Here is a 24,701-nt window from a genome sequence, read left to right on the forward strand (position 1 = left end):
AAACATGTTTTAACTAAAAATATAGCCAAAAGTGATCCTTGGGATCTTTAAAGGGAAGCTGAATTCTCTTATAGACTAATTCCTCTGAAAAAATCCAAATATTAAATCTATAACTTATATTTGGAATATGGGTACCTATAAAGAATGTATAACTGTGATAAGTGATCTAACTTTCACCATGTTTTGCTTTTTTAAAAAATCTATCAAAAATATCATATTTAGTGAACAGAAAAGAGAAATATCTAACATTATTTTATTGCTCTTCATAACACAAATGTCTATGAAACAGGAGGCAGGTGAAATTACTAAATATTCCCAATTCTGGGAAAATATCAAGAAATGTTCCAAAGTCCAGGAAATATAAAGTGAGAACATTCTTGATACACTTTTTAAAAAACTTTGACTAGAGCTAAACCTACAATTTTCAAAGGCTTAGTATAAGTATGTTAATTTTTTAAAAACTAAACTGATAATCTGATGCTACAGGGGCTACTAACGCTTACCTCAAGGGAACCTACTGCAGATAAAGTCCCGTCACTTGCACAGTCCTTTCAGCTGCCTGCCAGTTGTTTCTGTGGAAGGGAAAGCCTGATGAGTGAGAGCCCTATGCCATACTCCTTTGTAGTGTCAGGGTGCCTGCACAGAACTGCACGAAACTGTCTACCTAGAGATTTCTAGATGCTTTCAATAACACAGAGCTAAAAAGATGCCACCTTTGAAGTTCCCTTTCCTCTGAACAGTGAAACAAAATGCCTAAGAGTTTCTGAGTGCTAATGAACTACTGGTATTATCAAGTTGATAGGTCTATACTAACCAAGTAGAAAAAAGTCTATACTAATCAAGTAGAAAAAAGACAAAAATGGATCAAGTAGAAATAAGACTGACGGGAAAAATACACACACACACACACACACACACACAAGTGACAGACCTGTTATCATCCAAGGAGAGAAAAGGCTATACCCACAAGAGTCAAGCTGTAACATCAACAAATGAATGCTAAAACTCACGGAACTTCCTGTCTACCCATTTTTAAAAGATGTCATCAAGTATATCATGCTCAGGGTAAATTATACCATGGATCCAAATGCCTGCTTGTAAAATCCCAGATATTTTCTTGGTGGGATCAGTAAGTGGGTAAAAGGGGGAGGGATTAAGAGGGGAGGGAATTCTTCAGATTTTTTAAAATACGAAAAATGAAAACCAGCAGCATGATTCCATAAGAAATTCTAAAAAGAGGGAAAAAATGTGTATCTCAGAAAGTACACAAACTCTTACTAAGGATCAAACTAAAAGGAAAGAATAAAGAGAAATAATAGAAAACTGGGAAACCCAACATACTTAAGAACCTCCTTCCTCTCACAGAACTATGAATGGCTAATAACTGTCTCCAGTAAGAATATATACATATCATTCATTTACAAGTTCAGCTACATAACCAAAGAAATTATATTTTCTTTCTAATGCCAAATGCAGTCTTCAATCTGAATGTTGTGCTTCATAAGGCAGAACAAAACATTCCTATAAGAAACTTTAAAAGCATTAACCTTTAGCAAAAGAACTGATGAAGAAACAAAATACTAATTAAAACGGTGATTCCAGCTTTTACTTTAATAGCACCATATTTAAAATGAAATTACTTACCTCTGATTCTTTGTCACTTAAAGATCCCAAGCTTCCAAAACTGTGATTAGAGCTTTCGTTATTTGTTGAGGCCTGTTAAAGATTTTTTAAAAGGTAAAAATTAGGAGTAATTTTTTTAAAGCAGCGGGAATAATTTTAAACAAACATATTACAAAGTAGATAATCTATCTTCATAAATAAATAAAGTATAATTCCTTAAAACAAGGAAGCCAAATGAGGTAAAAATAAGAAATACTAAATTCTTAACACTATATACTTTGAAAAGTTTTATCAAGTCAATAAAGTTCTGCTGTGTTTTAGGAACTGACTTCTATTAGCTGGTTTTTTAAATCCCAGTTCAAAAGCAAAGGAACTGGGCCATTGTTAGGATGACAAGATCCCTAAAATTATTACTCAATGTATTAAAAACTAATGCTACCTTTGGCTGAAAGTATTATTTGGGCTCTTCAGGTCCCTTCACAATTATCAAATTCCATCATGTCTGAAACACACCTCTTTGCCTTTCTCTGTATTAACAAACTGTCCTGTTTTTCTTTTTTTTAAAATTTGTTTTAACTCTATCTCTTCAAAAACATCTTTGACCATCTCGACCATTTTAATTAATTGCTTTGCTCAAGAATTTCTCCATTTCCTTGACAATATTTTTGAACTGTAACAAAGAAAGAGCTAACATTCTGTAGGATGATGTCTGCTTTGTTTCCAATACGCTTCTATGATACTTATTATCTTGTGCACTTTTTTGTACCATCAGTACATCAGATCATAGTCTTCCAGAAATGCTTAGACCAGGTGGCTGACAGATTATGGCATATATGTCAAAGATGATGCAAGAATTAACATTACATACAGGCAAGCCAATTGATATCCTCATGTTTCACCTCACTTGTAACAGGAGTGGCTGCTAATCCTACTATTAACAGGTTGCCAGTTAGACTATAATTATATAATTGAAATTAGATTAATTTCCAAAGTGACAACTCTGAGCCATTGCATACATGCCCAGTACTATGCTGGATACTGTAAAAGCTGCTGTCAACAAAGGATAGCGCTTGAACTAATTACAATTCAAGTAGTACTTGGAATAAGTTATAATCTAATTATGGCAAGATTATCAAATTTGAAACAGCAGCAATTAAGAAGTAATACATTAGAAAGATTCTGGGACAATAAGGGCAGTGGCAAAGTGTTTGAGCATCTGTAAATACCCACCAAAAAAATGTATAAAACTAAATAGTAAACCAAAAACCCACAGACTGTATTTACAACAAAACTAGGTGACAAGAATCTCCATGAATCCCCCTCAAAACATCAGATGGAAACAAGTCAACAACAACCATAGATAATGTATGGTATCATTATCAATATGGGAGGAAACAGAAAGAAACAGATGTCTGATAACCGAGAACAAAAGACACCTAAAACAGCCAACAAGTTAGGTACAGAAGCTAGGTTAACTTAAGTACAGAAGGGTTTTGCACTTTCAATTAGTGACTAAGTGGGAGGAGTCCACGGTTACATTTAAAAAGTGAGAGCAGTCTAGCCTCCACGAATCCTTGAAACGGATCTTTACATAACAGGGTGGTACAATGAGTACAAATTACTGGGTGTGGAATGAAAATTGAGTACTATATAGGTACAATTACAATAATGGAAAGAGAATATTCAGATAAAGAAGGGAGGGAACACAGCCTAGCAATCTCAGAAAGCAAATGCCACAGTTTTGAAGCGTGCCTAAAAACAGCAGTAGAGAAAGCCCTGTAAGAAAAGCCATCCTGAACCACACCAACCATTTAAGTGTTCAGGAAATCCAATTTCACATGAAAGTAGGCAAAAGAAAATTATGCAGGTCATAAAGGTATAAGAAAAAATAAAGTAAGATACAGAATAACATCCAGATAATAAAAGCATACCAGGAACACACATCCACAAAATAGGTAAAAATTGTAACCTACTATTTTAAAATGAACTAAGAGATATTACAAAAAGGACTCAAGACATGAAACAACTATATAAATCAGATTTCAAAAAACTCGGAAATAAGGTAACAGAACTCAAGAAAGCATTAAAAATAAAAGTTTCAGAAATAAAAAGTATATCTGAATGAACCCAAGAGCAAATATATACAGTAGATAATGCTTTAAGATAACCAGAAGGCAAAAAACAGGGACATTTTTGAAATCAAAAGAAATGAAGAGATGAAAAGTATTTGAGAGTAAGCTACAGCTGATGATGAAGCAACAAAGATCAATATACAGATAACAGAAGACCCTAAAAACTACTAAAGCCAGAAAATAGTAAAAACTGTAATTCAAGAAAATGTCTCTGATGGCTGGGCACAGTGGCTCATGCCTGTAATCCCAGCACTTTGGGAGGCGGAGGCGGGCAGATCACCTGAGGTCAGGAGTTCGAGACCAGCCTGACCAACATGGTGAAACCCTGTCTCTACTAAAAATACAAAATTAGCCAGGCGTGATGGTGCACACCTGTAATTCCCAGATACTTGGGAGGCTGAGGCAGGAGAATCACTTGAATCTGGGAGGCAGAGGTTGCAGCGAGCCAAGATCACACCATTGCACTCCAGCCTGGGCAACAAGAACAAAACTCCATCTCAAAAAAAAAAAGAAAAAAAAATGTCTCTGACATTTTCAGTTGTCAGTCTCTTGTTGTCAGTTGTTGTTTTTTAAATGTTCAATTAAAAAAATTGAAACTACTGACAGAGCACCATGCACACCTAGGAATAACAACCCAGAAAGCGAACATCAAAGGCAAACACTTTATGCCAGACAAAAATGGAGTGACATAAGCTATTCAAGGAAAGAAAATAAAAGCAAAGTGTTTTATATTCAGTAAAATCCATTTTAAACACATGGAAAGCATAGATAAACGGTTACCAAAAATGCAAGCAATTAGGGAACCCTGCTCCCATGAGCCCTTCCTAAAGAATCTACTACAGAACAAGCTTAAGACAACCAAAATGAATAGTTTACCAGTCTAAGAACTGAAGGCAAGCAATAATATGACTTATTGTTGATCAAGATTAAATGATAATGACAAGGGAGAGGATATAATATTTAATGACTAAATGCATGCAAAGTTAATAGTACAGTATTTTTAAAACTAGGGGATGGAAAGCATACACAAAATAATTGTTTTCAGTACCCACTTTGTTCACTGTGCTAATGTTATTTTGAGACAGCTATGTGTGTGAAATACAGAATAAAGTAAAATAATTAAGGGATATCCAATTCTATCCTCTGCTTCGTATCTTCGAATTTCATAATTCACAGTATAAAGATGCATATGAAAAAAACCTTATAATCCTGAGTTTGAATAGGAAATATCAATAAAAATTCATGAAATATTTTTATCTTTTAAAACAAACAATAAAAATATAAGTAGGTAGGTAGATGAATAAGATTCCACCACCAGTAAAAACAGAATACCTTATTTTCTACAGATAACTATATATAAATCCTGGAAAAAAAGGATTTAAAAAAGCCACTACCTGAACCAAAAGTAGGCAGAATCTAAGTACAAGACAACACTTAGAAGAAGGGAACAGAGGCTGGGTGCAGTGGCTCGCGCCTGTAATCCCAGCACTTTGGGAGGCCTAGACAGGCAGACTTCTTGAGGTCACAAGTTCAAAACCAGCCTGGCCAACATAGTGAAACCCCGTCTCTACTAAAAATACAAAAAACAGCCAGGCGTCATGGCGCATGCCTGTAATCCCAGCTACTAGAGAGTCTGAGGCAGGAGAAATGCTTGAATCTGGGAGACAGAGGTTAAAGTGAGCAGAGATCGCACCACTATATGCCAGCCTGGGCAACAGAGCAAGACTCCGTCTCAAAAAAAACAAACAAAAAAAAAAAACAGAAAAAAAAAGAAGAGGAGAAGAAGGGAATAGATCTGGGTAGGTTTCCTGTTTTTACAGCTTTTGCTGAGGGGAAGGTCCCGGAGATCAGAGCTGCACAAACAGCAGTTGAAACCCAGATCAAAATCTTTAGTCTTACTGGCTTGAAAAACAAGAGTTTCAAGCTTCCAAAGAGGCTGCAAAGTAAGGAGGGATACGCTGGAAAATAAAGATCCACAAAGGGAGAGTCCCAAATTCTGCATATTAACTCTGCCTACTTCTTTGGCTGGTCAGTGATCTATGCAAAAACGGAGCAGACGATAAGCAGCCTAGATAAGACTAAAACAACTAGCAGGGATGTCAGTGCTGCCCTCTGCAGGGAGACATAGCTTAAATTTCAGTCTAGCCAAGTTAACTGCCTCCTAAAACAAAGAAAAACAAACAAAAAACAGTCTCCAAAGTCACTGTAATGTGTCATTCACAGCGTGGAGGATACAATAAAAATTTGTAATCATATGAAGAAACAAGAAAAAGTGACCCATACTCAAGAGGAAAGACAATCAATAGATACTAATCATGAAGTAACACAGATTTGGAATCAGCAAATAAATAACATAAAGCAGCTAATATAAGTAGCTCAAACGACAAGATTGGAAATTTCAGCAGACAAATAAAAACCGTAAAAAGAGCTGAACGTAAATTCTACAACTGAAAATTTCACTCTCTAAAATAGAAAACTTACTGAATGGGCTTAACAGAAGAATGGAAAAAGAGTACTGAAGATAGGTCAAGAGAAATTACTCAAACTAAAGAACAGAGAAAAAAATATTGAAAAATAGTGTCTGTTGGACACCATGAAGCAGTCTAAGATACATGTAACTGGGGTCATAAAATGAGAAAAATATGCAGAAAAAAATATTTGAAAAAATGACAGCCAGAAAAATCCCAAAATTTGGCAAAGACATTAATTTACAGATTGAAGTTCACTCAATCTCCCAAGCAGGATAACTACAAAGAAAACCACACCTACGCACATCATAGTCAAACTGCTGAAAAACCAAAGATAAAGAAAACAATCTTGAAAGCAGCTGGAGAAAGTACACATGAGAACAAAAAAGGATAAAAGTAACAGTTGACTTGTCATCATAAATGCTGGAGGCCAACTTCACTCTGGAAATAGTGAGCTAGGAGAACTCTGTACTAAGATGCATAAGGCACAGCTGAGAAAACAGAGAAGGTTAAGTAGAAAGTCTACACTAAAGAGACCCTTAGGCCCTTTCTTGTTCTCAATTCTAAAAAGTTAGCAGCCAAGCTTTTACTCCACAGGTATGAGATGATAAAAATCTCTCTCTGGGAGATTCTATAAGTCCCTCAGAGAAATGACTTAACTAGATCATCCTACTGCAAAACCCATCCATGGCTGGGTATGGTGGCTCACACCTATAATCCCAGCACTTTGGGGGGCTGAAGTAGACGGATGGCTTGAGCCCAGGAGTTTGAGACCAGCCTGGGCAACATGGTGAAACCCTGTCCCTACAGAGGAAAAAAAAAATTAGCCAGATGTGGTAGCATGTACCAGCAGTCCCAGCTACTCAGGAGGCTAAGGTAGGAGGATCACTTGAGCCCAGGAGATAGAGGCTGCAGTGAGCTGTGACAGTGCCACTGCGCTCCACCCTGAGCGACTGAGACCCTGTATCAAAAACACCCCAAAAAACAAAACCCATCCATCAGTCAGTAAACCCTGCCCAGTTACACAGTTTCCAGTAAGTGTTTAAGTGCCTAATGCACAGATATGAACAAAGTCCAATATCACTCAAAAAATTCTTCCAGAACTGGAAAGCATGTTTCTGGATTGGAAAGACACATTTTTAAAAAATCAAGCACAATGGCTTAAAGAAAACCAAACCAAGATACATCAGAATAAATAATTTCAAATTCTAGAGACAAACACAAGCTCCTAAATAAAAGCTTCGAGGGAAGAACAAATAGAGTATTTACAAAGAATCAGGAATCAGAATGGCATTGGAGTGTGCAACAGTAACACTGGAAGCTAGAAGACAATGGAACAATGCCTTCAAAATTCTGAGAAAATGATTTCCAACCTAGAATTCTACCCGTCAGATACACTAAAAACAAAGTGGGAGGAGGAAAATATGCAAGGTCTCAAAAATTTCACTACCCATATATCTTTCCTCAAGAAGCAACCAGAGAATCTGCTCCACCAAAAACAAAGAAATAAAGCAAGAAAGAGAAGATATGGGATACATGAAATAGCTCAAACACAGGACAGACACAAAAGTCTCCCTGATCCTATGATGATCTTGGCTCACTGCAAACTCCACTTTCCGGGCTCAAGTGATTCTGCCTCAGCCTTCTGAGTAGCTGGGATTACAGACATGTGCCACCATGCCCGGCTACTTTTTGTATTTTTGGTAGAGACAAGGTTTCGCCATGTTGGCCAGGCTGATCTCGAACTCCTGGCCTCCCAAAGTGCTGGGATTACAGGAGTGAGACACCACATTTGGCCTGGCTTTGAAATTATGAACATGAATTGTGTGTCTTTTCCTTCTTGATTTGTAGGAATTCTTTCCATATTCAGGACATGAATCTATGGTTTGCCTTTTCACACCTTACTGTGTCATTTCAACGTAGTTACATTTATCAAATGTTTTTCTTCTTGGCTACTGCCTTTTGGAACCTATTTATGAAATCTCTGCCAATCTAAGGTAATGAAGACAGTCTATTCATTTTATTAAAGTTTTATTGCTTTACCTTTCCCATTTAAATCTACAATTTACTTGAAATTGATTTTTCTATCATGATAAGAGTTCAAAGTGAAGAGTTATTTATTTTCCCTTATAGATATCCAATTGATACAGCACATCTATTTTAACGATCAACTCTTTCCCACTGCACTGCAATATCACCTTTGTCATAGATCAAGTTACTATTTACAGATGGGTCTACTGCTGGACTTTATTCTCTTTCATTGGTCTATTTTTCTATCCATGTCAATATCAGACTGACTTAATAACTAACTTTCTCTTTATTTTTTAAGAGACCAGGTCTTGCTCTGTCACTCAGGCTGGAGTGCAGTGCAGTGGCATGATCATAGCTCACTGCACCCTCGAACTCCTGGGCTCACGTGATCCTCCCGTTCAACCTCTTAAGTAGCTGGGATTACGGGCACAAGCCACCGTGCCTGGTTTAATTTTATCAATAATACCACAAAATATTCTTGATATCTAGTAGTATAATTCTCCCAGCTCTGTTATTGTCCTTTAAGGCTGCCTAGACCATTCTTGGTCTTTACATTTTTATATAATTTTGGAATCAGCTTGTTACTTTCCACCCTCCCCAAAATCCTGCTGGGATTTTAATTGGTATTGCACTGAAGCTACAAATCGATTTAGTAAGAACTGATAGCTTTATAACATTGAGTCTTCCAATATTTGAATATTGCATCTCATTTACTAAGGCCTTTTCTGATTTCACTGTTTTACAGTTTTCAGTGAAGATGTCTTGAGTATCTTTTGTAAGATTTATTTCAACTTATATTTTTATTATAAAGATTTAATAACATATTTATATTAACAATTTTTAATACTGTATATGGTACCTTTCTAAAACTTCATTTTCTACTTTCTACTTATTTGTTGTTGATATGCAGAAAATATAACTGGTTTTAATATATGATTTATAATCAATGACCTTAACTAATTTACTTATTAGTTTTAATTATTTTTAGATTCCTTGTGATTTTTCTCTAGATCATAATCATGTTATGGGGATAATCTTTATTTCTTGATATGAGTGCTGCTTACATCACTGTGTTCAGTTTGTGAACATTCATTGAGTGTACTTATGATTTGTGCATTATTCTAAATGTAGTGAGGAAGAGAACTACTTATCGCCTATGCTATTTATTTGAACGGTTTTTTGCTACAAAGTCATCAAATCCTTGGGATTTTCCTAGGTATTCACTTTCTAAAATCATGTATTTAAAAAGGTTAAATTTCAGTATTAATTCTTTGGAGACTAAAGCTGGTAATATTTCCCCATAGATAAGCACTCATTTATTCTTAATGCTTTTTATACCAGAATTCATTCTCTATCAATAAAAATATCTTTCCTAGCTCCACTATAACTCCACTTTATAAGGCTTTTTATTGGTAATGTTGCCAAAAGTTTAGTAAAAAGAACAATATTTAAACTAGCAGACACAATAGTTTTTTACTAAGAAACTATTAAAATTAAATTGAAAATTAATTTCCTCAGTCGCACTAGCCATATTTTAAATCCTCAGTAGCCACATGTGGCCAGTGGCTACTATTAGGCCATACAGATACAAAAGATGGCCATCATATCAGAAACTTCTATTAGACAGAGTTGCTATAAGATAGGGGATCAGCAAACTATGGCCCTCTGCCTGGTTTTTATATAAAGTTTTACTGGAACAAAGCCATACTCATTTCATTACATATGGTATATGTCTGCTTTAGTACTAAAATGGCACAGTTGAGTAGTTTTGATAGAGACCACATGACCTACAGATATTTAGTTACCTGGCACTTTACAGAAAAAGTTTGCCGACCTCTGCTACAGACATACGAAAATCACAAAAATCAGTGCTTGAGTTCAATGCTTGAGAGGAGCTATATGGGTTAAGAGGGAATATTATATTTCAACAATAGATGCCCCCATCTAACCAGACATAATCTAGTATAAACATTCCTTGCATCCCTAAAAAGCATTAACTGTCTTAAATTTGGGATTTGAAAGTCAAGTCTTATGATTCAGAACACAGTAAACATTTCCCATTTTAGGTATTCAACCTCCATTCCAATTTCATGACAGCAACATAGTTTCTTTTTAGAAAACCATCCTGTCCTTGTATTTTTGGTAGGACTGGAAATCAACCTGCCCAGCAACTAGAGAAATTCTAAGGAGGGTCCTTCTCCCATACATAATCTTTACCCATACCTATAATCGAGAAACAAAGGGGAAAATTAATCAACTCTCTTCCCCAGAAGTTTGAATCTCAAAGGAATGATATAATAAGCATGGGATGGCGGGGGGGTGTCTTTGTTGTTGTTGTTGTTGTTGTTGTTGTTGTTGTTGTTGTTGTTGTTTAGACGGAGTCTCACTCTGTCTCCCAGGCTGGAGTGCAGTGGCATGATCTCGGCTAACTGCAAGCTCCGCCTCCTGGGTCCATGCCGTTCTCCTATCTCAGCCTCCCGAGTAGCTGGGACTACAGGCGCCTGCCACCGCGCCCGGCTAATTTTTTGTATTTTTAGTAGAGACAGGGTTTCACCGTGGTCTCAATCTCCTGACCTCGTGATCCGCCAGCCTCAGCCTCCCAAAGTGCTGGGATTACAGGCATGAGCCACTGCGCCCGGCCGTCTTTTTTTTTTTAATCCACTGGAGATCCCACAATCAAAAGGATGAGCAGTTTCTGTTGCTTCATCACCCAAGGTTGCCCTGGTTCCTGTGCAACTCTGGTCTTCCAGGCTTCCAAATCATTCTGTGAATTGACTGATATTCGATCAATAACTTCCCTTCTTTGCTCAAGGTAGCTAGAGAGCTGGGGTTTATTTCTGCCAAAGAAAAAAAATCCATATTGTTTTGGCAAAAAATCTGGAGTGGACAAAAGTAGAAAACGAAGTCAAATGTCTTAAAGAAGACTTGTCCATCAATGACATTCACTTTCACACTACATATTTTCACTATGACCAGCTGTAGGCAAAACTGTAAGACAGACTAAGTTTTGGTTACCATCCACATTCTTATCAGCACCACCACTACTGGCTCTCTGTAGTTGTCAATTAATTCTAAATATTAATCAAAGTGTTCAGATTTTAGCTTGTAGCTGCCATCTCCCCAAATATCTCTTTAGTTCACTAATATCCCAAAATATCTATTTACTGTGCCAATAGATTTAATTAGAACACTTCATATTTTAACATGTTTTTTGAAATGTGGGTTAAACCTGCAAACTGTTAAGACCACCCTCCTACCCCCATGGACAAAATGATGAATATGTCCACCTGGAAGTTACCAAACTATGCTTGCTCTGCTGTGGTTACTACTAGAACAGACTAAAAGCATCTGAGGGCAAGGATTTTGTCCTCTGTCTACAAACCAAGGACACTAAATGGAACCTTACACATGAGTACTTTAAAGTATATGCTAAGGAAATGAAGCAACTAGATGGGTACATTTTTTTTTACGTGATGTTAACAGGTTAGAAGTTAGGAAAATTAGTAAAATAAACAGACACTGGCCTTATTTTCAGTTCCAAAGAGCTTGCTGATACTGGGCAGTGCTAAGAACATAATATTAAAGCAAGTCCAGAAGGACCACATGACTCCATGTAAACTCTAAATGCAATTCAAAATTTTCCCCCAGTACTCTTAAAAATATATGCCAGTCTCAAAATTAGCCTCCTACTGCCTAAGTCTCCAAAGTTTCTGAATCAGGATACACTGTTTTGATTTCTTATAATAAAAGGATTTCATTCCCCCAAAATTGAGGACATAACTAAAGAGTAGACACAGAGCTAAGTGCTGAGACCATTAAAATATGCCACACAGTCCTTTGTCTTCAAGAGCTTAGTAGGCTAGTAAGAAACAAATAATTAAAATGTGATGGGAAAAATTTTGTCTAGGTACACACAGGTGTTGAAGAGGGACACAGGAGGTCCACCAGATTTGGATTTGGGCAATTAGATGGAATGAGGTAATCAGAGAAACATCCTTAAAGTGATACCTGATCTGACCTTGACATTCAAAGAGTGATGCATCTGATGAAAAGAAAGGGCATATGGGCATCTGAAACAAAGTGAACTGTATGTTCAAAGGAAAGATGTGAAAAACCATATCCATTTAGGGAACCACAAATAGGCTGTTCAAAGTACAATGTGAAGAAAAGATGGAAAGTGGGGCATGAAACTGGGCTACAGTGGTAAGGTAGGAATCCGAAAAATGTCAGGTAATTTGAACTTCAACTTAAAAACTATGTGAAACCATTAAAAAAAAAAAATTCCAAGCAACACCTTCTTAATGCCACTGTTAAGAAGGCTAGGAGAATCAATAAGTTAGAATAGGTAAGTAAGATCAGGCCTGCTTTTCTGGTCAAATCTATGGGGAAGAATGTCTGTAGGGCTACATAAAGGTAGATCTGACAGAGATTTAAGTTGATCACTTCTGCATAATGAGAAGACTCCCCTTACCCACCTGTCCCATGCTGCTCTAGACGCCACCTGATTGTAGCCAACACCAGGAGTAAGAGAAGGGAACACCTGTAAACCTCACCACCAACCAATCTATCACTACTCAGAAGATCACCAGCCTAACCAGAATGGATGCTGTGGCAAGAAAATCTTACAGGTAATTTAAGGAGCCTAATTACCTTGCAAGGGAGAGCCCTAGTCAAACACAGAATAGGTGGCTCAACTAGAGGAGAAATTACGGTCAGAGCAGAAATAGGTCTTTTATAAGTATATTATTTGAATTTTAAAGTAAATATAATTAGAAATAAAAGAGTTGACAGTGAAACGCAATTGCAAAAATCTAAATTCAGTAAAGAGTAGGGGCAGAAGCACTGCTAGAAATGAAATTAGTAGTCTAGAAAATGAAGTAGAATCATCCCGTTAACATCAAAATATGAAGAAATTAAAATCATGAGTTAAAACAACAGATACAAAGGACATATCTAGGGGATCTACTATGAAAATAACTCGTTTTCAGAAGGGAGGAAACAAATTAAGAAAAAAAATCAAATATTAAAAAGAAAACTTCCCTGAGCTGAAGAAAAATTAAAACCTAGAAGACATCAAAAATAGTATCTATAAACTACTGAGATACTACGAGAAAGCAAAAGAAAGACATTTTCAGACATGCAAACTCAAAACATGGCAGCATGTATTCAAGAATGCTTAAAAGATCGACACTGTAAGGGCAAGCAATACCCTCAAACTAAATTTTCTTTTTTTCCGAGACAGAGTTTTGCTCTTGTTGCCCAGGCTGGAGTGCAATGGCGTGATCTCGGCTCACTGCAACCTCCACCTCCCAGGTTCAAGCGATTCTCCTGCCTCAGCCTCCCGAGTAGCTGCGATTACAGGCATGCGCCACCATGCCTGGCTAATTTTGTATTTTTAGTAGAGACAGGGTTTCACCATGTTGGTCAGGCTGGTCTCGAACTCCTGACCTCAGGTGATCTGCCCACCTCAGCCTCCCAAAATGCTGGGATTACAGGTGTGAGCCACTGCGCCTGGCCTCAAACTAAATTTTCTAAAGGGGGAGAAGAGGGTAGCAGATACAGGTTTATGTATGACTGCCATAAAGATTTGTTATAAATCACAAACATGCAGAAATTAAACAACACACTCCTAAATAACCAATAGGTCAAAGGATAAATCTCAAAGGAAATTAGAAAAAAACTTTGAGATGAATGAAAACAAAAACACTGCATATCAAAACATATGAGATAAAGTTAAAGCAGTGCTTACAGGGAAAACTGTAACTGTAAATGTTTACATTTAAAAAGAGATCTTGAATCATAACCCAACCGTCCACCCAAAAAACACTAGAAAAAAGAAAACCAAACTAAAACCAAAGCAAGCAGGGGGGAAAATATATATCACAGCAGAAACAAATGAAATAGAGAATAGAAAAACAATAGAAAAAAAAACAATGAAACCAAAAGTTGGATCCTTGAAAACAAAATTGACAAATCTTTAGCAAGTCCTACCAAGACCAAAAGAAGGAAGACTCAAATTACTACAATCAGAAATGAAAGAGCTCGTTATTACTGACTTACAGAACTAAGAATTACAAGAAAATATAATGAAAAGTTTTATGCCAACAAATCAGATAACTAAGATGATATGGACAAATTCCTAGAAAGACACAAGCTACCAAAAATGATTCTAGAAGACATAAATATCCTCAACAAAACACTAGCAAACCAAATTCAACACCACATTAACAGGATCATCATACACCAAGATCAACTGAAACTTATTCCTGAAATGCAAGGGTGGTTCAACATACATAGTCAATAAATATGATACACCACATTAACAGAATGAAGAATAAAAATCTTATGATCATCTCAATAGATACAGAAAATGCATCTGACAAAATTCAACATCCTTTCATGATTTAAAAAAAAAAAACTTTCAACATCCTTTTGTGATTAAACTCTCAATAAACTAGGTATAGAAGAAATGTACCCAACATAATAAAGGCAATAAATGATAAGCCCACAGCTAATTTCATACTCCAGGATGAAAAGCTGGCAGCTTTTCCTCTAAGATCAGGAACAAGACAAGTAAGCCCATTCTCACCACTGCTATTCAATATAGTACCGGAAATCCTACCCAGAGCAATCAGGCTAAAGGAAAGAAAAAAAAAGAATACAAGCCATCCATGTCAGAAAAGAATAAATAAAATTATCTCTATTTGCAGATGACATAATTGTATATATGGATAACCCTGAAGATTCCACCAAGAAACTATTGGAGTCAGTTAAACTAATTCAGTAAAGTTGCAAGATAACAAAATCAACATACAAAAATCAGTTGTGGAAGGGCATGGTGGCTCATGCCTGTAATTCCAGCATTTTGGGAGGCCAAGATGGGAGGAATGCTTCAGGCCAGGAGTTCAAGACCAGCCTGATCAACATAGCGAGACCCCATCTCTATAAAAAATAAAATAAACTTTTTTTAAAATCCCACACAAAAAATCAGTTGCATTTCTATATACTAATGATCTGAAAAAGAAATTAATAAAACACTTCCATTTACAATAGCATAAAAAAAATTTAAGAATAAATTTAATCAGCCCAGGCACGGTAGCTCATGCCTGTAATCCCAGCACATTGGGAGGCCAAGGCAGGTGGATCATTTGAGGCCAGGAGTTCCAGACCAGCCTGGCCAACACAGTGAAACTCCATCTCTACCAAAAAATACAAAAATTAGCCAGGCATGGTGGCAGGCGCCTATAGTCCCAGCTACTCAGGAGACTGAAGCAGGAGAATCACTTGAACTCAGGAGGCAGAGGATGCAGTGAACCAAGATGGCACCACTGCACTCCAGCCTGGGTGACAGAGCAAGACCCTGTCTCAAAAAAAAAAAAAAAATTAACCAAGGAGGTGAAAGATCTATAAAATAAAAACTATAAAACTGTCGAAAGAAATTGAAGACAATACAAATGGAAAGATATCCTGTTTTCATGAATTGAAAGAATTAATATTGTTTAACTGTCCATGCCACCCAAAGTGATCTACAGATTCAGTGTAATCCTAATAAAACTCCAATGGCATTTTTCACAGCAATAGAAAAAACAACCCTAAATTTACGTGTAACCTCAAAAGAACCCAAAGAGCCAAAGCAAAACTGAGTAAGCACAAAGCTGGAGGCATCATAGTACCTGATTTCAAAATATACTACAAAGTAATAATAATCAAAACAGTACAGTACTGGCATAAAAATAGACATATAAACCAATGGAACACAACAGAGAGCCCAGAAACGAATCCACACATGTAGGGTGAATTGATCTTTGGCAAAAGTGCCGAGAACACACAATGGGGAAAGGATAGTTTCTTCAATAAATGGCCTTGGGAAAACTGGTAATCCACATCCAGAAGTTGGAAACTGGACCCTTATCTCATACCATATATAAAAATCAACTCAAAATGAATTAAAGACATAAGATATGAAATTTTTAAAATATTAGAAGAAAACACAGGAAAAAAAGCTTGTTGACATTGGTCTGGGCAATGATTTTTGAAAATGATCCCAAAAATATAGGCAACAAAAGCAAAAATAAACAAATGATATTACATCAAACTAAAAAGCTTATGCACAGAAGAAGAACCAATCAACACAGTAAAGAGACAATCTACATAATGGGACAAAATATTTGCAAACCATGTATCTGATAAGAGCTTAATATCCAAAATATTGTAACTCAAGAGCAAGACAACAACCTAATTTAAGAATAGGCGGCCGGGTGTGGTGGCTCACATCTGTAATCCCAGTACTTTGGGAGGCTGAGGCAGGCGGATCATATGAGGTCAGGAATTGAGACCAGCCTGGCCAACATGGTGAAATGACATCTCTACTAAAAATAACAAAATTAGCTGGGTGTTGACGGCGGGTGCCCATAATCCCTGCTACTCGGGAGGCTCAGGCAGGAGAATCGCTTAAACCTGGGAGGCGGAGGCTGCAGTGAGCCAAGATCGCATTACTGCATTTCAGCTTGGGTGACAGAGCAAGACTCCACTAGGAAAGGAAAGGAAGGGAAAGGGGAAAGGGGTGGGGCGGGGAGAGAGAGGGAGAGAGAAAGAGAGAGAAAGAAAGAGAAAGAAAAATAAAAGAAGCCAGTTAAATACTGCATGATCTCACATGTGAAATCTCATGAAGCAATGAAGCAGAGAGTACAACGATGGTTGCCAGGAACTAGGGGGTAGGGGAAATGGGGAGATTTTGGTAAAAGGGTACAAAGGTTCATCTACACTGAATAAGTTCTGAAGCTCTAATGTACAGTATGGTGATTACAGTTAATAATATAGTACCGTACACTTGAAATTTGCTAAGAGAATAGATCTTAAATGTTTTCCGCACAAAAAAAACTACATGAGGTGATGAACATGTTAATTATCTTAATAGTGTTAATCATGTCACAATATATATGTATATCAAAACATCACATATACACCTCACATATATATAATTTCTATTTGTCAATCATACCTCAATAAAGCTGGGGTAGAAAGGTAGAAATAAATAATCTGAATAGTCCTTACAAGTAAAGAAATAGTAGCAGTATAATTAAAACAAGAAAACGAATAAATATCTACCCTCGAAGAAAAGCCCAGGCCTAGATGGTTTCACTGGTAAATTCCACCAAATATGTAAAGCAGAACTAATACTAATTCTTCACAAACTCTTCCAAAGAACAGAAGGAACACTTACCAACTCATTCTGGAAAAACAATATTACCTGATAGTGAAACCAGATAAAAACATCACAAGAAAATTACAGATCAATATCCCTTACAAATATGGATGCAAAAATCCTCAACAAAATACTAGCAAACCAAATCCAGCAACATATAAAAAGGATTATACACTTTGAGCAAACAGTATTCATTCCAGGAATGCAAGGTTAGTTCAACATACACCAGCTATATTAACAGAACAAAAAATAACCACTGATCATGAACAGACATAGAAAAAATGTCTGCCAAAACCCAACACCCTGTTTCTGATTTAAAAGGAACAAAAAAGAGCCACTCAGCAATCTAGAAATAAAAGGAAACTTCCTCAACCTGAGAAAGGACATTTATGAAGCACTCACAGCTTTCCTCTCTAAGATGACAATATATGTGCTCTCACCACTTCAGTTCAACATTGTATTGGATGTTCTAGTCAATGAAAATTAGGCAAGAAAAAAATAAAAGGTAAATACTAAAGGTAAATACAGTAATAACAGCAAAACTATTAAAGCTAATAAGTTCAGAAAGGTTGCAAGACACAAGACTAACACACAAAAACCAAATGTATATCTATAAAACAGCAAAGAGCAATGTGAAAAACAAATTAAGAAAACTTCATTTACAATACTATCAAAAAAATAAAATACTTAGGAATAAACTTAACAAAACAAATGCAAGACTTATACAGTATAAACTAAAAAACATCATTGAAAGAAAATAAAGAAGATCTAAATGAATGTACCAACAGTTGTGTTCATGTGCTAGAAGACTTAATGTTATTAGGATGGCAATACTTCCCAATTCAACCTAGACATTCACCAAAATTCCTAACAAAATCCCAGGTGGCCTTTTGTTGAAATTGACAAATTGATCATAAAAGTCATATTGAAATGCAAGGGACCCAGAATAGCCAAAATAATCTTGAAAAAAGAACAGAGTTGGAGGATACACACTGCCAGTTTCAAAACCTACTACAAAGCTATATTAACCAACACAGTGTGGTATGGCGAAAAGATAGACATACAGATCAGCAGAACAGAATTAAGAGTTCAGAAATAAACCCATATATTTACAATCAATTAACTTTTGACAAAGGTTCCAGGACAATTCAAAGGGAGAAAGAATAGTCTTTTCAACAAATGTTGCTGAGACAACTGAATAGTCCAACGCGAAAAAATTATTTTGGATTCCCTACCTCATACCATATATGCAAATTAACTCAAAATGGATCAAAGACCTAAATGTAAGAATTATTTATAATTATAAACTCCCTAGAAGAAAGCATAGGTATATAAATATGTGATTCTGGATTAAGCAATGATTTCTTAGATATGACACCTACAGAATGAGACAAAAATCTGTAAATCGTGTATCTGATAAGAGTCTAGTACCCAGTAAGTATAAAGAATTCTTATGACTCAAGATTTAAGAAATAACCCAATTTTAAAATGGGAAAAGGATTTTAACAAACACTTCACCAGAGAAGATATATGAATGGAAAATAAGCACATGAAAAGATGCTCATCAGTCATTAGGGAAATACATACCAAAAACACAGTGAGATCCCACTTCACACATCACCCAGAATGGTTATGCTATGGATTGAATATGGTCTGTTCATCTCCACCAAAACTCATTTTGAAATTTGGTCCAAAGTGTGGCGGTGTGGGAAGTAAGGTCTAGTGAAAGGTGCTTGTGTTATATCTCCCTCATGAATGGCCTGGTGCAACTCTTGCAGTAATGAGTGAGTTCTTACTCTGGCAAGACTGGATTTAGTTCCAGCAAGAGCACGTTGTTATAAAGCAAGGTTCCCCCTCCCCAGTCCCTCTTCACACATATCCACTTCCCCTTTGACCTTCTGTAACATGAGGGAAATGTAAAACTCCTCGCCAGAAGCCAAGGCCATGTCCTTGAACCTCGCAGCCTGCAGAGCCAAGAGCTAAATAAGCCTCTTTCTTTATAAACTGCCCAGTCTCTGGCATTCTGTTATGGCAACACAAGCAGATGAATACAGGCTATAATTTAAAAAGACAATAATAAGTGTTGACAGGGATGTGGAGAAAGTGGAACTCTCATGCATTGCTGGTAGGAATATAAAATGGTGTGGCTATTTTGAAAAGGAGTTTGGCAGTTCCTCAAAACATTAAACACAGAGTTAACATAGAATCAGTAATTTCACTCCTATCTATATACCTAAAAGAACTAAAACATATGTCTACAAAAAATTTCTAAGAGTGTTCCTAACAGTTCATAACATTTGCATCAAAAAACGGAAACAACCACCCAATGTCCAACAACTCACAAAAGAACAAACAAAATGTGGCACATCCATATAATGGAACAGTCTGTCATATAATGGAATGAGTACAATACATACTATAACATCTGTGAACATGAAAACATTATGCTAGGTTTTAAAAGCCAGGCACAGGCCAGGCGCAGTGGCTCACACCTGTAATCCCAGCACTTTGGGAGGCCAAGGAGGGTGGATCATGAGGTCAGGAGTTTGAGACCAGCCTGACCAACATGGTGAGACCTCATCTCTACTAAAAATACAAAAATTAGCCAGAAGTGGTGGTACGTGCCTGTAATCCCAGCTACTCAGGAGGCTGAGGCAGGAGAATCACTTGAACCCAGAAGGTGGAGGTTGCAGTGAGCCAAGATAGCGCCACTGCACTCCAGCCTGGACAACAAGAGTGAAACTCCGTCTCAAAAAAAAAAAAAAAAAAAGCCAGGCACAAAATAACTCATATTGTATCACTCCATTGATATAAAATGTCCAGAACAAGCAAATCCAGAGATACAGAAAGTAGACTGGTGGTTGCCAGGCAATGCAGTGTAGGCTAGGGAAGAAGGAAAGTTGCTGCTAATGTTTGTGTGTTTCAGTTTTGGGGTAACAAAAATGTTTTAGAGTTCGACAGTGGTAATGGTTGCATAAAAAAGTGAATACATTAAAAACCATTAAATATGTTAAATGAGTCATTTTGATGGTATGTTAATTATATCTCAATAAAAGTGGTTCTAAAAGTTCACATTAGTGGAGGGAAATCAGAAGGAAAAAAGCTCAACAAAGTACAGTATATAATCATTCATGCAAACACTCATATAGTATGTTCCACTGCAAGCACACATACACAGACTTGAGGCCTTCAAAAGAATAGGTTTTTTTAAAAAACACCCATGAGACATTGTTTTAAAAAATATAAAAGCAACACAGGCACATAAGAGGAATTTCAATCATTACAGAAAGATAATTTCTCCTTCCCACATCAGTCCCACTATTGAGAGGCAATGACTTATTTAAAAAATGTTTTTAATTAACTTTTGAATAGGCAATATAAACAGGCTACTTTGGTTTCTTTCTTATTGTCTTCCTAGAGTCTCTATTTCTATACAAGCAAATTAAATATATGTTCTTTGGTTCCTCCCTTCTCACTCAAAGATAACATTATACAGACTGCATTGCATATTTTTCTCTTAATATATCTTGGAGACATTTCCAAATCAAAACACAGATAGCTTCTTCATTCCTTTTTTTCTTTACTTCCTTTCTTTCAAACAGGTGAGTACGTACCAGATTCTAGTAAATCCTCAATTGACCCTGCCATGGAAGATGAAGAATTTATCTAGCATCACAGTTTCTCCTTCTTTCTGAGACATTTAGTTATATTTTTATTTTTAATTCTTCAAATGGTTGCCTTACCTTAAATATAATATTTTCTTTAAGTTCAAACTGTGTGTAATGACTCCTCATTATGTAAAATAAGAAAATATATCCTTAACTTCTCCCAACATGACAACTACACAATAAGTTTACATAATTACAGTTTATAACATTTACCCTTCTTTCTATCTGAGAGTCACAAATTCATATGCTATCAGGGTCTGGTAAGTAAATAAACAGGCGAAACAGGCTTAGGGTAAAACAATAGTCAAAATCTAAAAGAATTATTTAAAATCCCTCATTCTAACTGTGTTTTAATAAATTCACTACGTTATTTCTAAAACGGTTTGATATATAAAAATTTTAACTGCCTTATCTTCTTTGTGGAGACTTAGTCCTTAAAAAACGTCTATCATTATACCATTCAAGGTTTTTGCCTTTGAAGAATGCTTTATTTGCTATTCATTCATGCATTCAAAAGTATTCATTGAGGGCCTTGGTTCTGTTGTAGATGCTAGGGATACAGCAGTGAAAAAAACAGACTGAAGTCCAGTGCTCATGGAGTTTCCATTACGAGAAGGGAAAGAGAATATAAACAAACACATAAATTTTAGTATTACCTATGGAATCAATAAGTTGTAGTATTAAAAAAAAGAAGTGGAGAAACTAAGGGGCAGTGACAAAGGTATTACCTTACATACAGCGGTGAGATAAGGCCTCTTTGAAGAGGGGAAATTTGAATGAAGTCAGCGTGAAGTGTGTTTGAGGCAAGTGGCAAATAAGACAGCAAATAATAACTGCCGTGGTGGGGCAGTTGTTAGCCTAACACTAGATCAAAAGGCCTCCTGATTTAGAGGAAGGCCTTCTGATCTGTGTGGGGCACAGTGAAGACACTGAATTTTATTTGAAATGCAATGGGAAGTTTGGGGAAGGTTCTGAGTTAAGAAAAAAATTGATCTCAAATTTATATATATATATATATAATTTTTTTTGAGACATAAGTCACACTCTGTCACTGAGGCTGGAGTGCAGTGGTGCAATCCTGGCTCACTGCAATCTCCGCCGCCTCCTGGGTTCAAGCAATTCTCCTGCCTCGGATTCCTGAGTAGATGGGATTACAGGCACGTCCCACCATGTCCGGCTAATTTTTTGAGATGGGGTTGAACTCCTGGCCTCAAGTGATCCGCCTGCCTCAGCCTCCCAAAGTGGTGGGATTACAGGCATGAGCCACCGCTCTTGACCTCAAATTTATATTTAATTGCACTTCATTTTTCTTCGTGATTATCTGAGATACTTTCTTTCCAGATATTTCCAATGTTCATCATTTTTTAAGGGATGTTTCTTGTTAACAGCCTGTAGATGGAGTCTCATTTACTGTGTTAATACATGCCTGGCTTTATTGCTTCCATCTTATATAATAGCAGATAAAAATGAAATATTTTCTGTTTTTCTTTTTCTCCTTCTCTTTTGTTGAATTACATTTCTTTATATTCCTCCTTCTACATTCTATTCCAGTAATTTAAAAGTTCTATGTATAGCAGATGACACAAATTCATATATAGAAAACCCTAAAAGCTTCACCAAAAAGCTGTTAGAACTGATAAATTCAGTAAAGGTGCAGAATACAAAATCAACACACAGAAATTAGTAGCATTTCTATACACCAACAATGAACTAGCAGAAAAAGAAATCAAGAAAGCAATCTCTGGCTGGGAGCAGTGGCTCACGCCTGTAATCCCAACACTTTGGGAGGATCACTTGAGGCCAGGAGTTTGAGACCAGCCTGGCCAGCATGGTGAAATGCCGTCTCTACTAAAAATACAAAAATTAGTTGGGCATGGTGGTGGGCGCCTGTAATCCCAGCTACTTGGGAGGCTGAGGCATGAGAATTGCTTGAACCTGGGAGGCAGAGGTTGCAGTGAGCCGAGATTGCACCACTGCACTCCAGCCTGGGCAACAGAGTTGAGATTCTGTCTCAAAAAAAAAAAAAAAATTCCATTTACAAGAACTAAGAACAAACAAACAAAAGTAGAAATAAACGTAACCAATGAGGTGAAGGGGTTCCCTTTCTACAAGGAAAATTATAAAACACTGAAGAAAAAAATTAAAGAGGACATAAAAAAATAGAAAGACACCCCACGTTCATGAATTGGAAGAATACTGTGAAAATGACATACTACCAAAAGTGATCTACAGATTCAATGCAATTCCTATCAAAATACCAATGACATTCCTCACAGAAAGAGAAAAAACATCCTAAAATTCATATGAAACCACAGAAGACTCTGAATAGCCAAAGCAATACAGAGCTAAAAGAATAAAACTGGAGGCATCACACTACTGGACTTCAAAATACACTACAATGTTCACCATGTTGGCCAGGCTGGTCTCAAACTCCTGGCCTCAAGTGATCCTCCCAAAGTGCTGGGATTACAGACATAAGCCACTGCTCCCAGCCAGGGATTGCTTTCTTGATTTCTTTTTCTGCTAGTTCATTGTTGGTGTATAGAAATGCTACTACTTTTTGTATGTTGATTTTGTGTAACAGACACAGATCAATGGAACAGAATAGAACCCAGAAATAAATCTATGCATTTATGGCCAACTAATCTTCGACAAAGGCACTGGGAACATTAAAAACTGGATATCCATAGGCAGAAAAATGAAACTAGCCCCTATCTCTCACTGTATACAAAAATCAACTCAAAATGGGTTAAAGATTTAAATGTAAGATCCCAAACTATGAAACTACTAGAAGAAACCTTAGAGGAAACACTTCAGGGCATTGGTCTAGGTTAAGATTTTATGAAGAAGATCTCAAAAGCACAGGCAACAAAAGCAAAAACAGACAAACTATTATCTCAAACTAAAAAGCTTCTTCACAGCAAAGGAAACAATCATAGAGTGAAGATACAACCTGCAAGAAAGTGATTTGTAAACTATTCATCTGAGAAGGGATTAATATCCAGAATTTACAAGGAACTCAAACAACTCAACAGCAAAACAATAAATAATCCAATCTAAAAATGGGCAAAGACATCTCTTGAAAGAAGTAACCATACAAAAACCATACAAATTTTAACAGGTATATTTAAAAAATGCTTGGCTGGGCGCAGTGGCTCACGCCTGTAATCCCAGCACTTTGGGAGGCTGAGGCGGGTGGATCACTTGAGGTCAGGAGTTTGAGACCAGCCTGGCCAACATGGTGAAACGCCATCTCTACTAAAAATACAAAAATTAGATGAGTGTGGTGGCGTGCGCCTGTAGTCCCAGCTACTCAGGAGGCTGAGGCAGGAGAATCACTTGAAACCAGGAGGCGGAGGCTGCAGTGAGCCCCGAGACTGCGCCAGTGCACTCCAGCCTGGCGACAGAGCGAGACTCCGTCTCGAAAAAAAAAAGACAAAAAATAACAAATACTAGTAAGGATGCAGAGAAAGGGAAACCCTCCTACACTGTTGGTGGAAGTGCGAATTAGTATAGCCATTATGGAAAAAAATATGGAGGCTCCTTAAAAAAAAAGATACAACTACCATATGAT

General features: G+C 36.8%; 1 protein-coding gene across 5 annotated transcripts in view, besides 1 other annotated feature; it reads right to left on the reverse strand.

Moving 5' to 3' along the window:
• The window catches only part of TLK1 (tousled like kinase 1), a 240,471-nt gene that overhangs the window by 90,314 nt on the left and 125,456 nt on the right, over positions 1–24,701 (reverse strand). For all 5 annotated transcript variants that reach the window (NM_001136554.2, XM_017005422.3, XM_011512238.4 and 2 more), the window contains one exon: positions 1,645–1,716. In NM_001136554.2, the coding sequence (NP_001130026.1) occupies positions 1,645–1,716 (72 nt within the window). The remainder of the gene's footprint in view (positions 1–1,644; positions 1,717–24,701) is intronic.
• Positions 21,706–22,212: an enhancer, noted in NCBI's record as "NANOG hESC enhancer chr2:171959352-171959858 (GRCh37/hg19 assembly coordinates)". NCBI's record gives its function as "activates a minimal SCP1, AML or CMV promoter by ChIP-STARR-seq in primed H9 embryonic stem cells {active_cell/tissue: H9 hESC(primed)}" and the evidence as "EXISTENCE:reporter gene assay evidence [ECO:0000049][PMID:30033119]".

Source organism: Homo sapiens, chromosome 2, assembly GCF_000001405.40.
Source record: "Homo sapiens chromosome 2, GRCh38.p14 Primary Assembly".
In the NCBI taxonomy this organism is placed as follows: domain Eukaryota; kingdom Metazoa; phylum Chordata; class Mammalia; order Primates; family Hominidae; genus Homo; species Homo sapiens.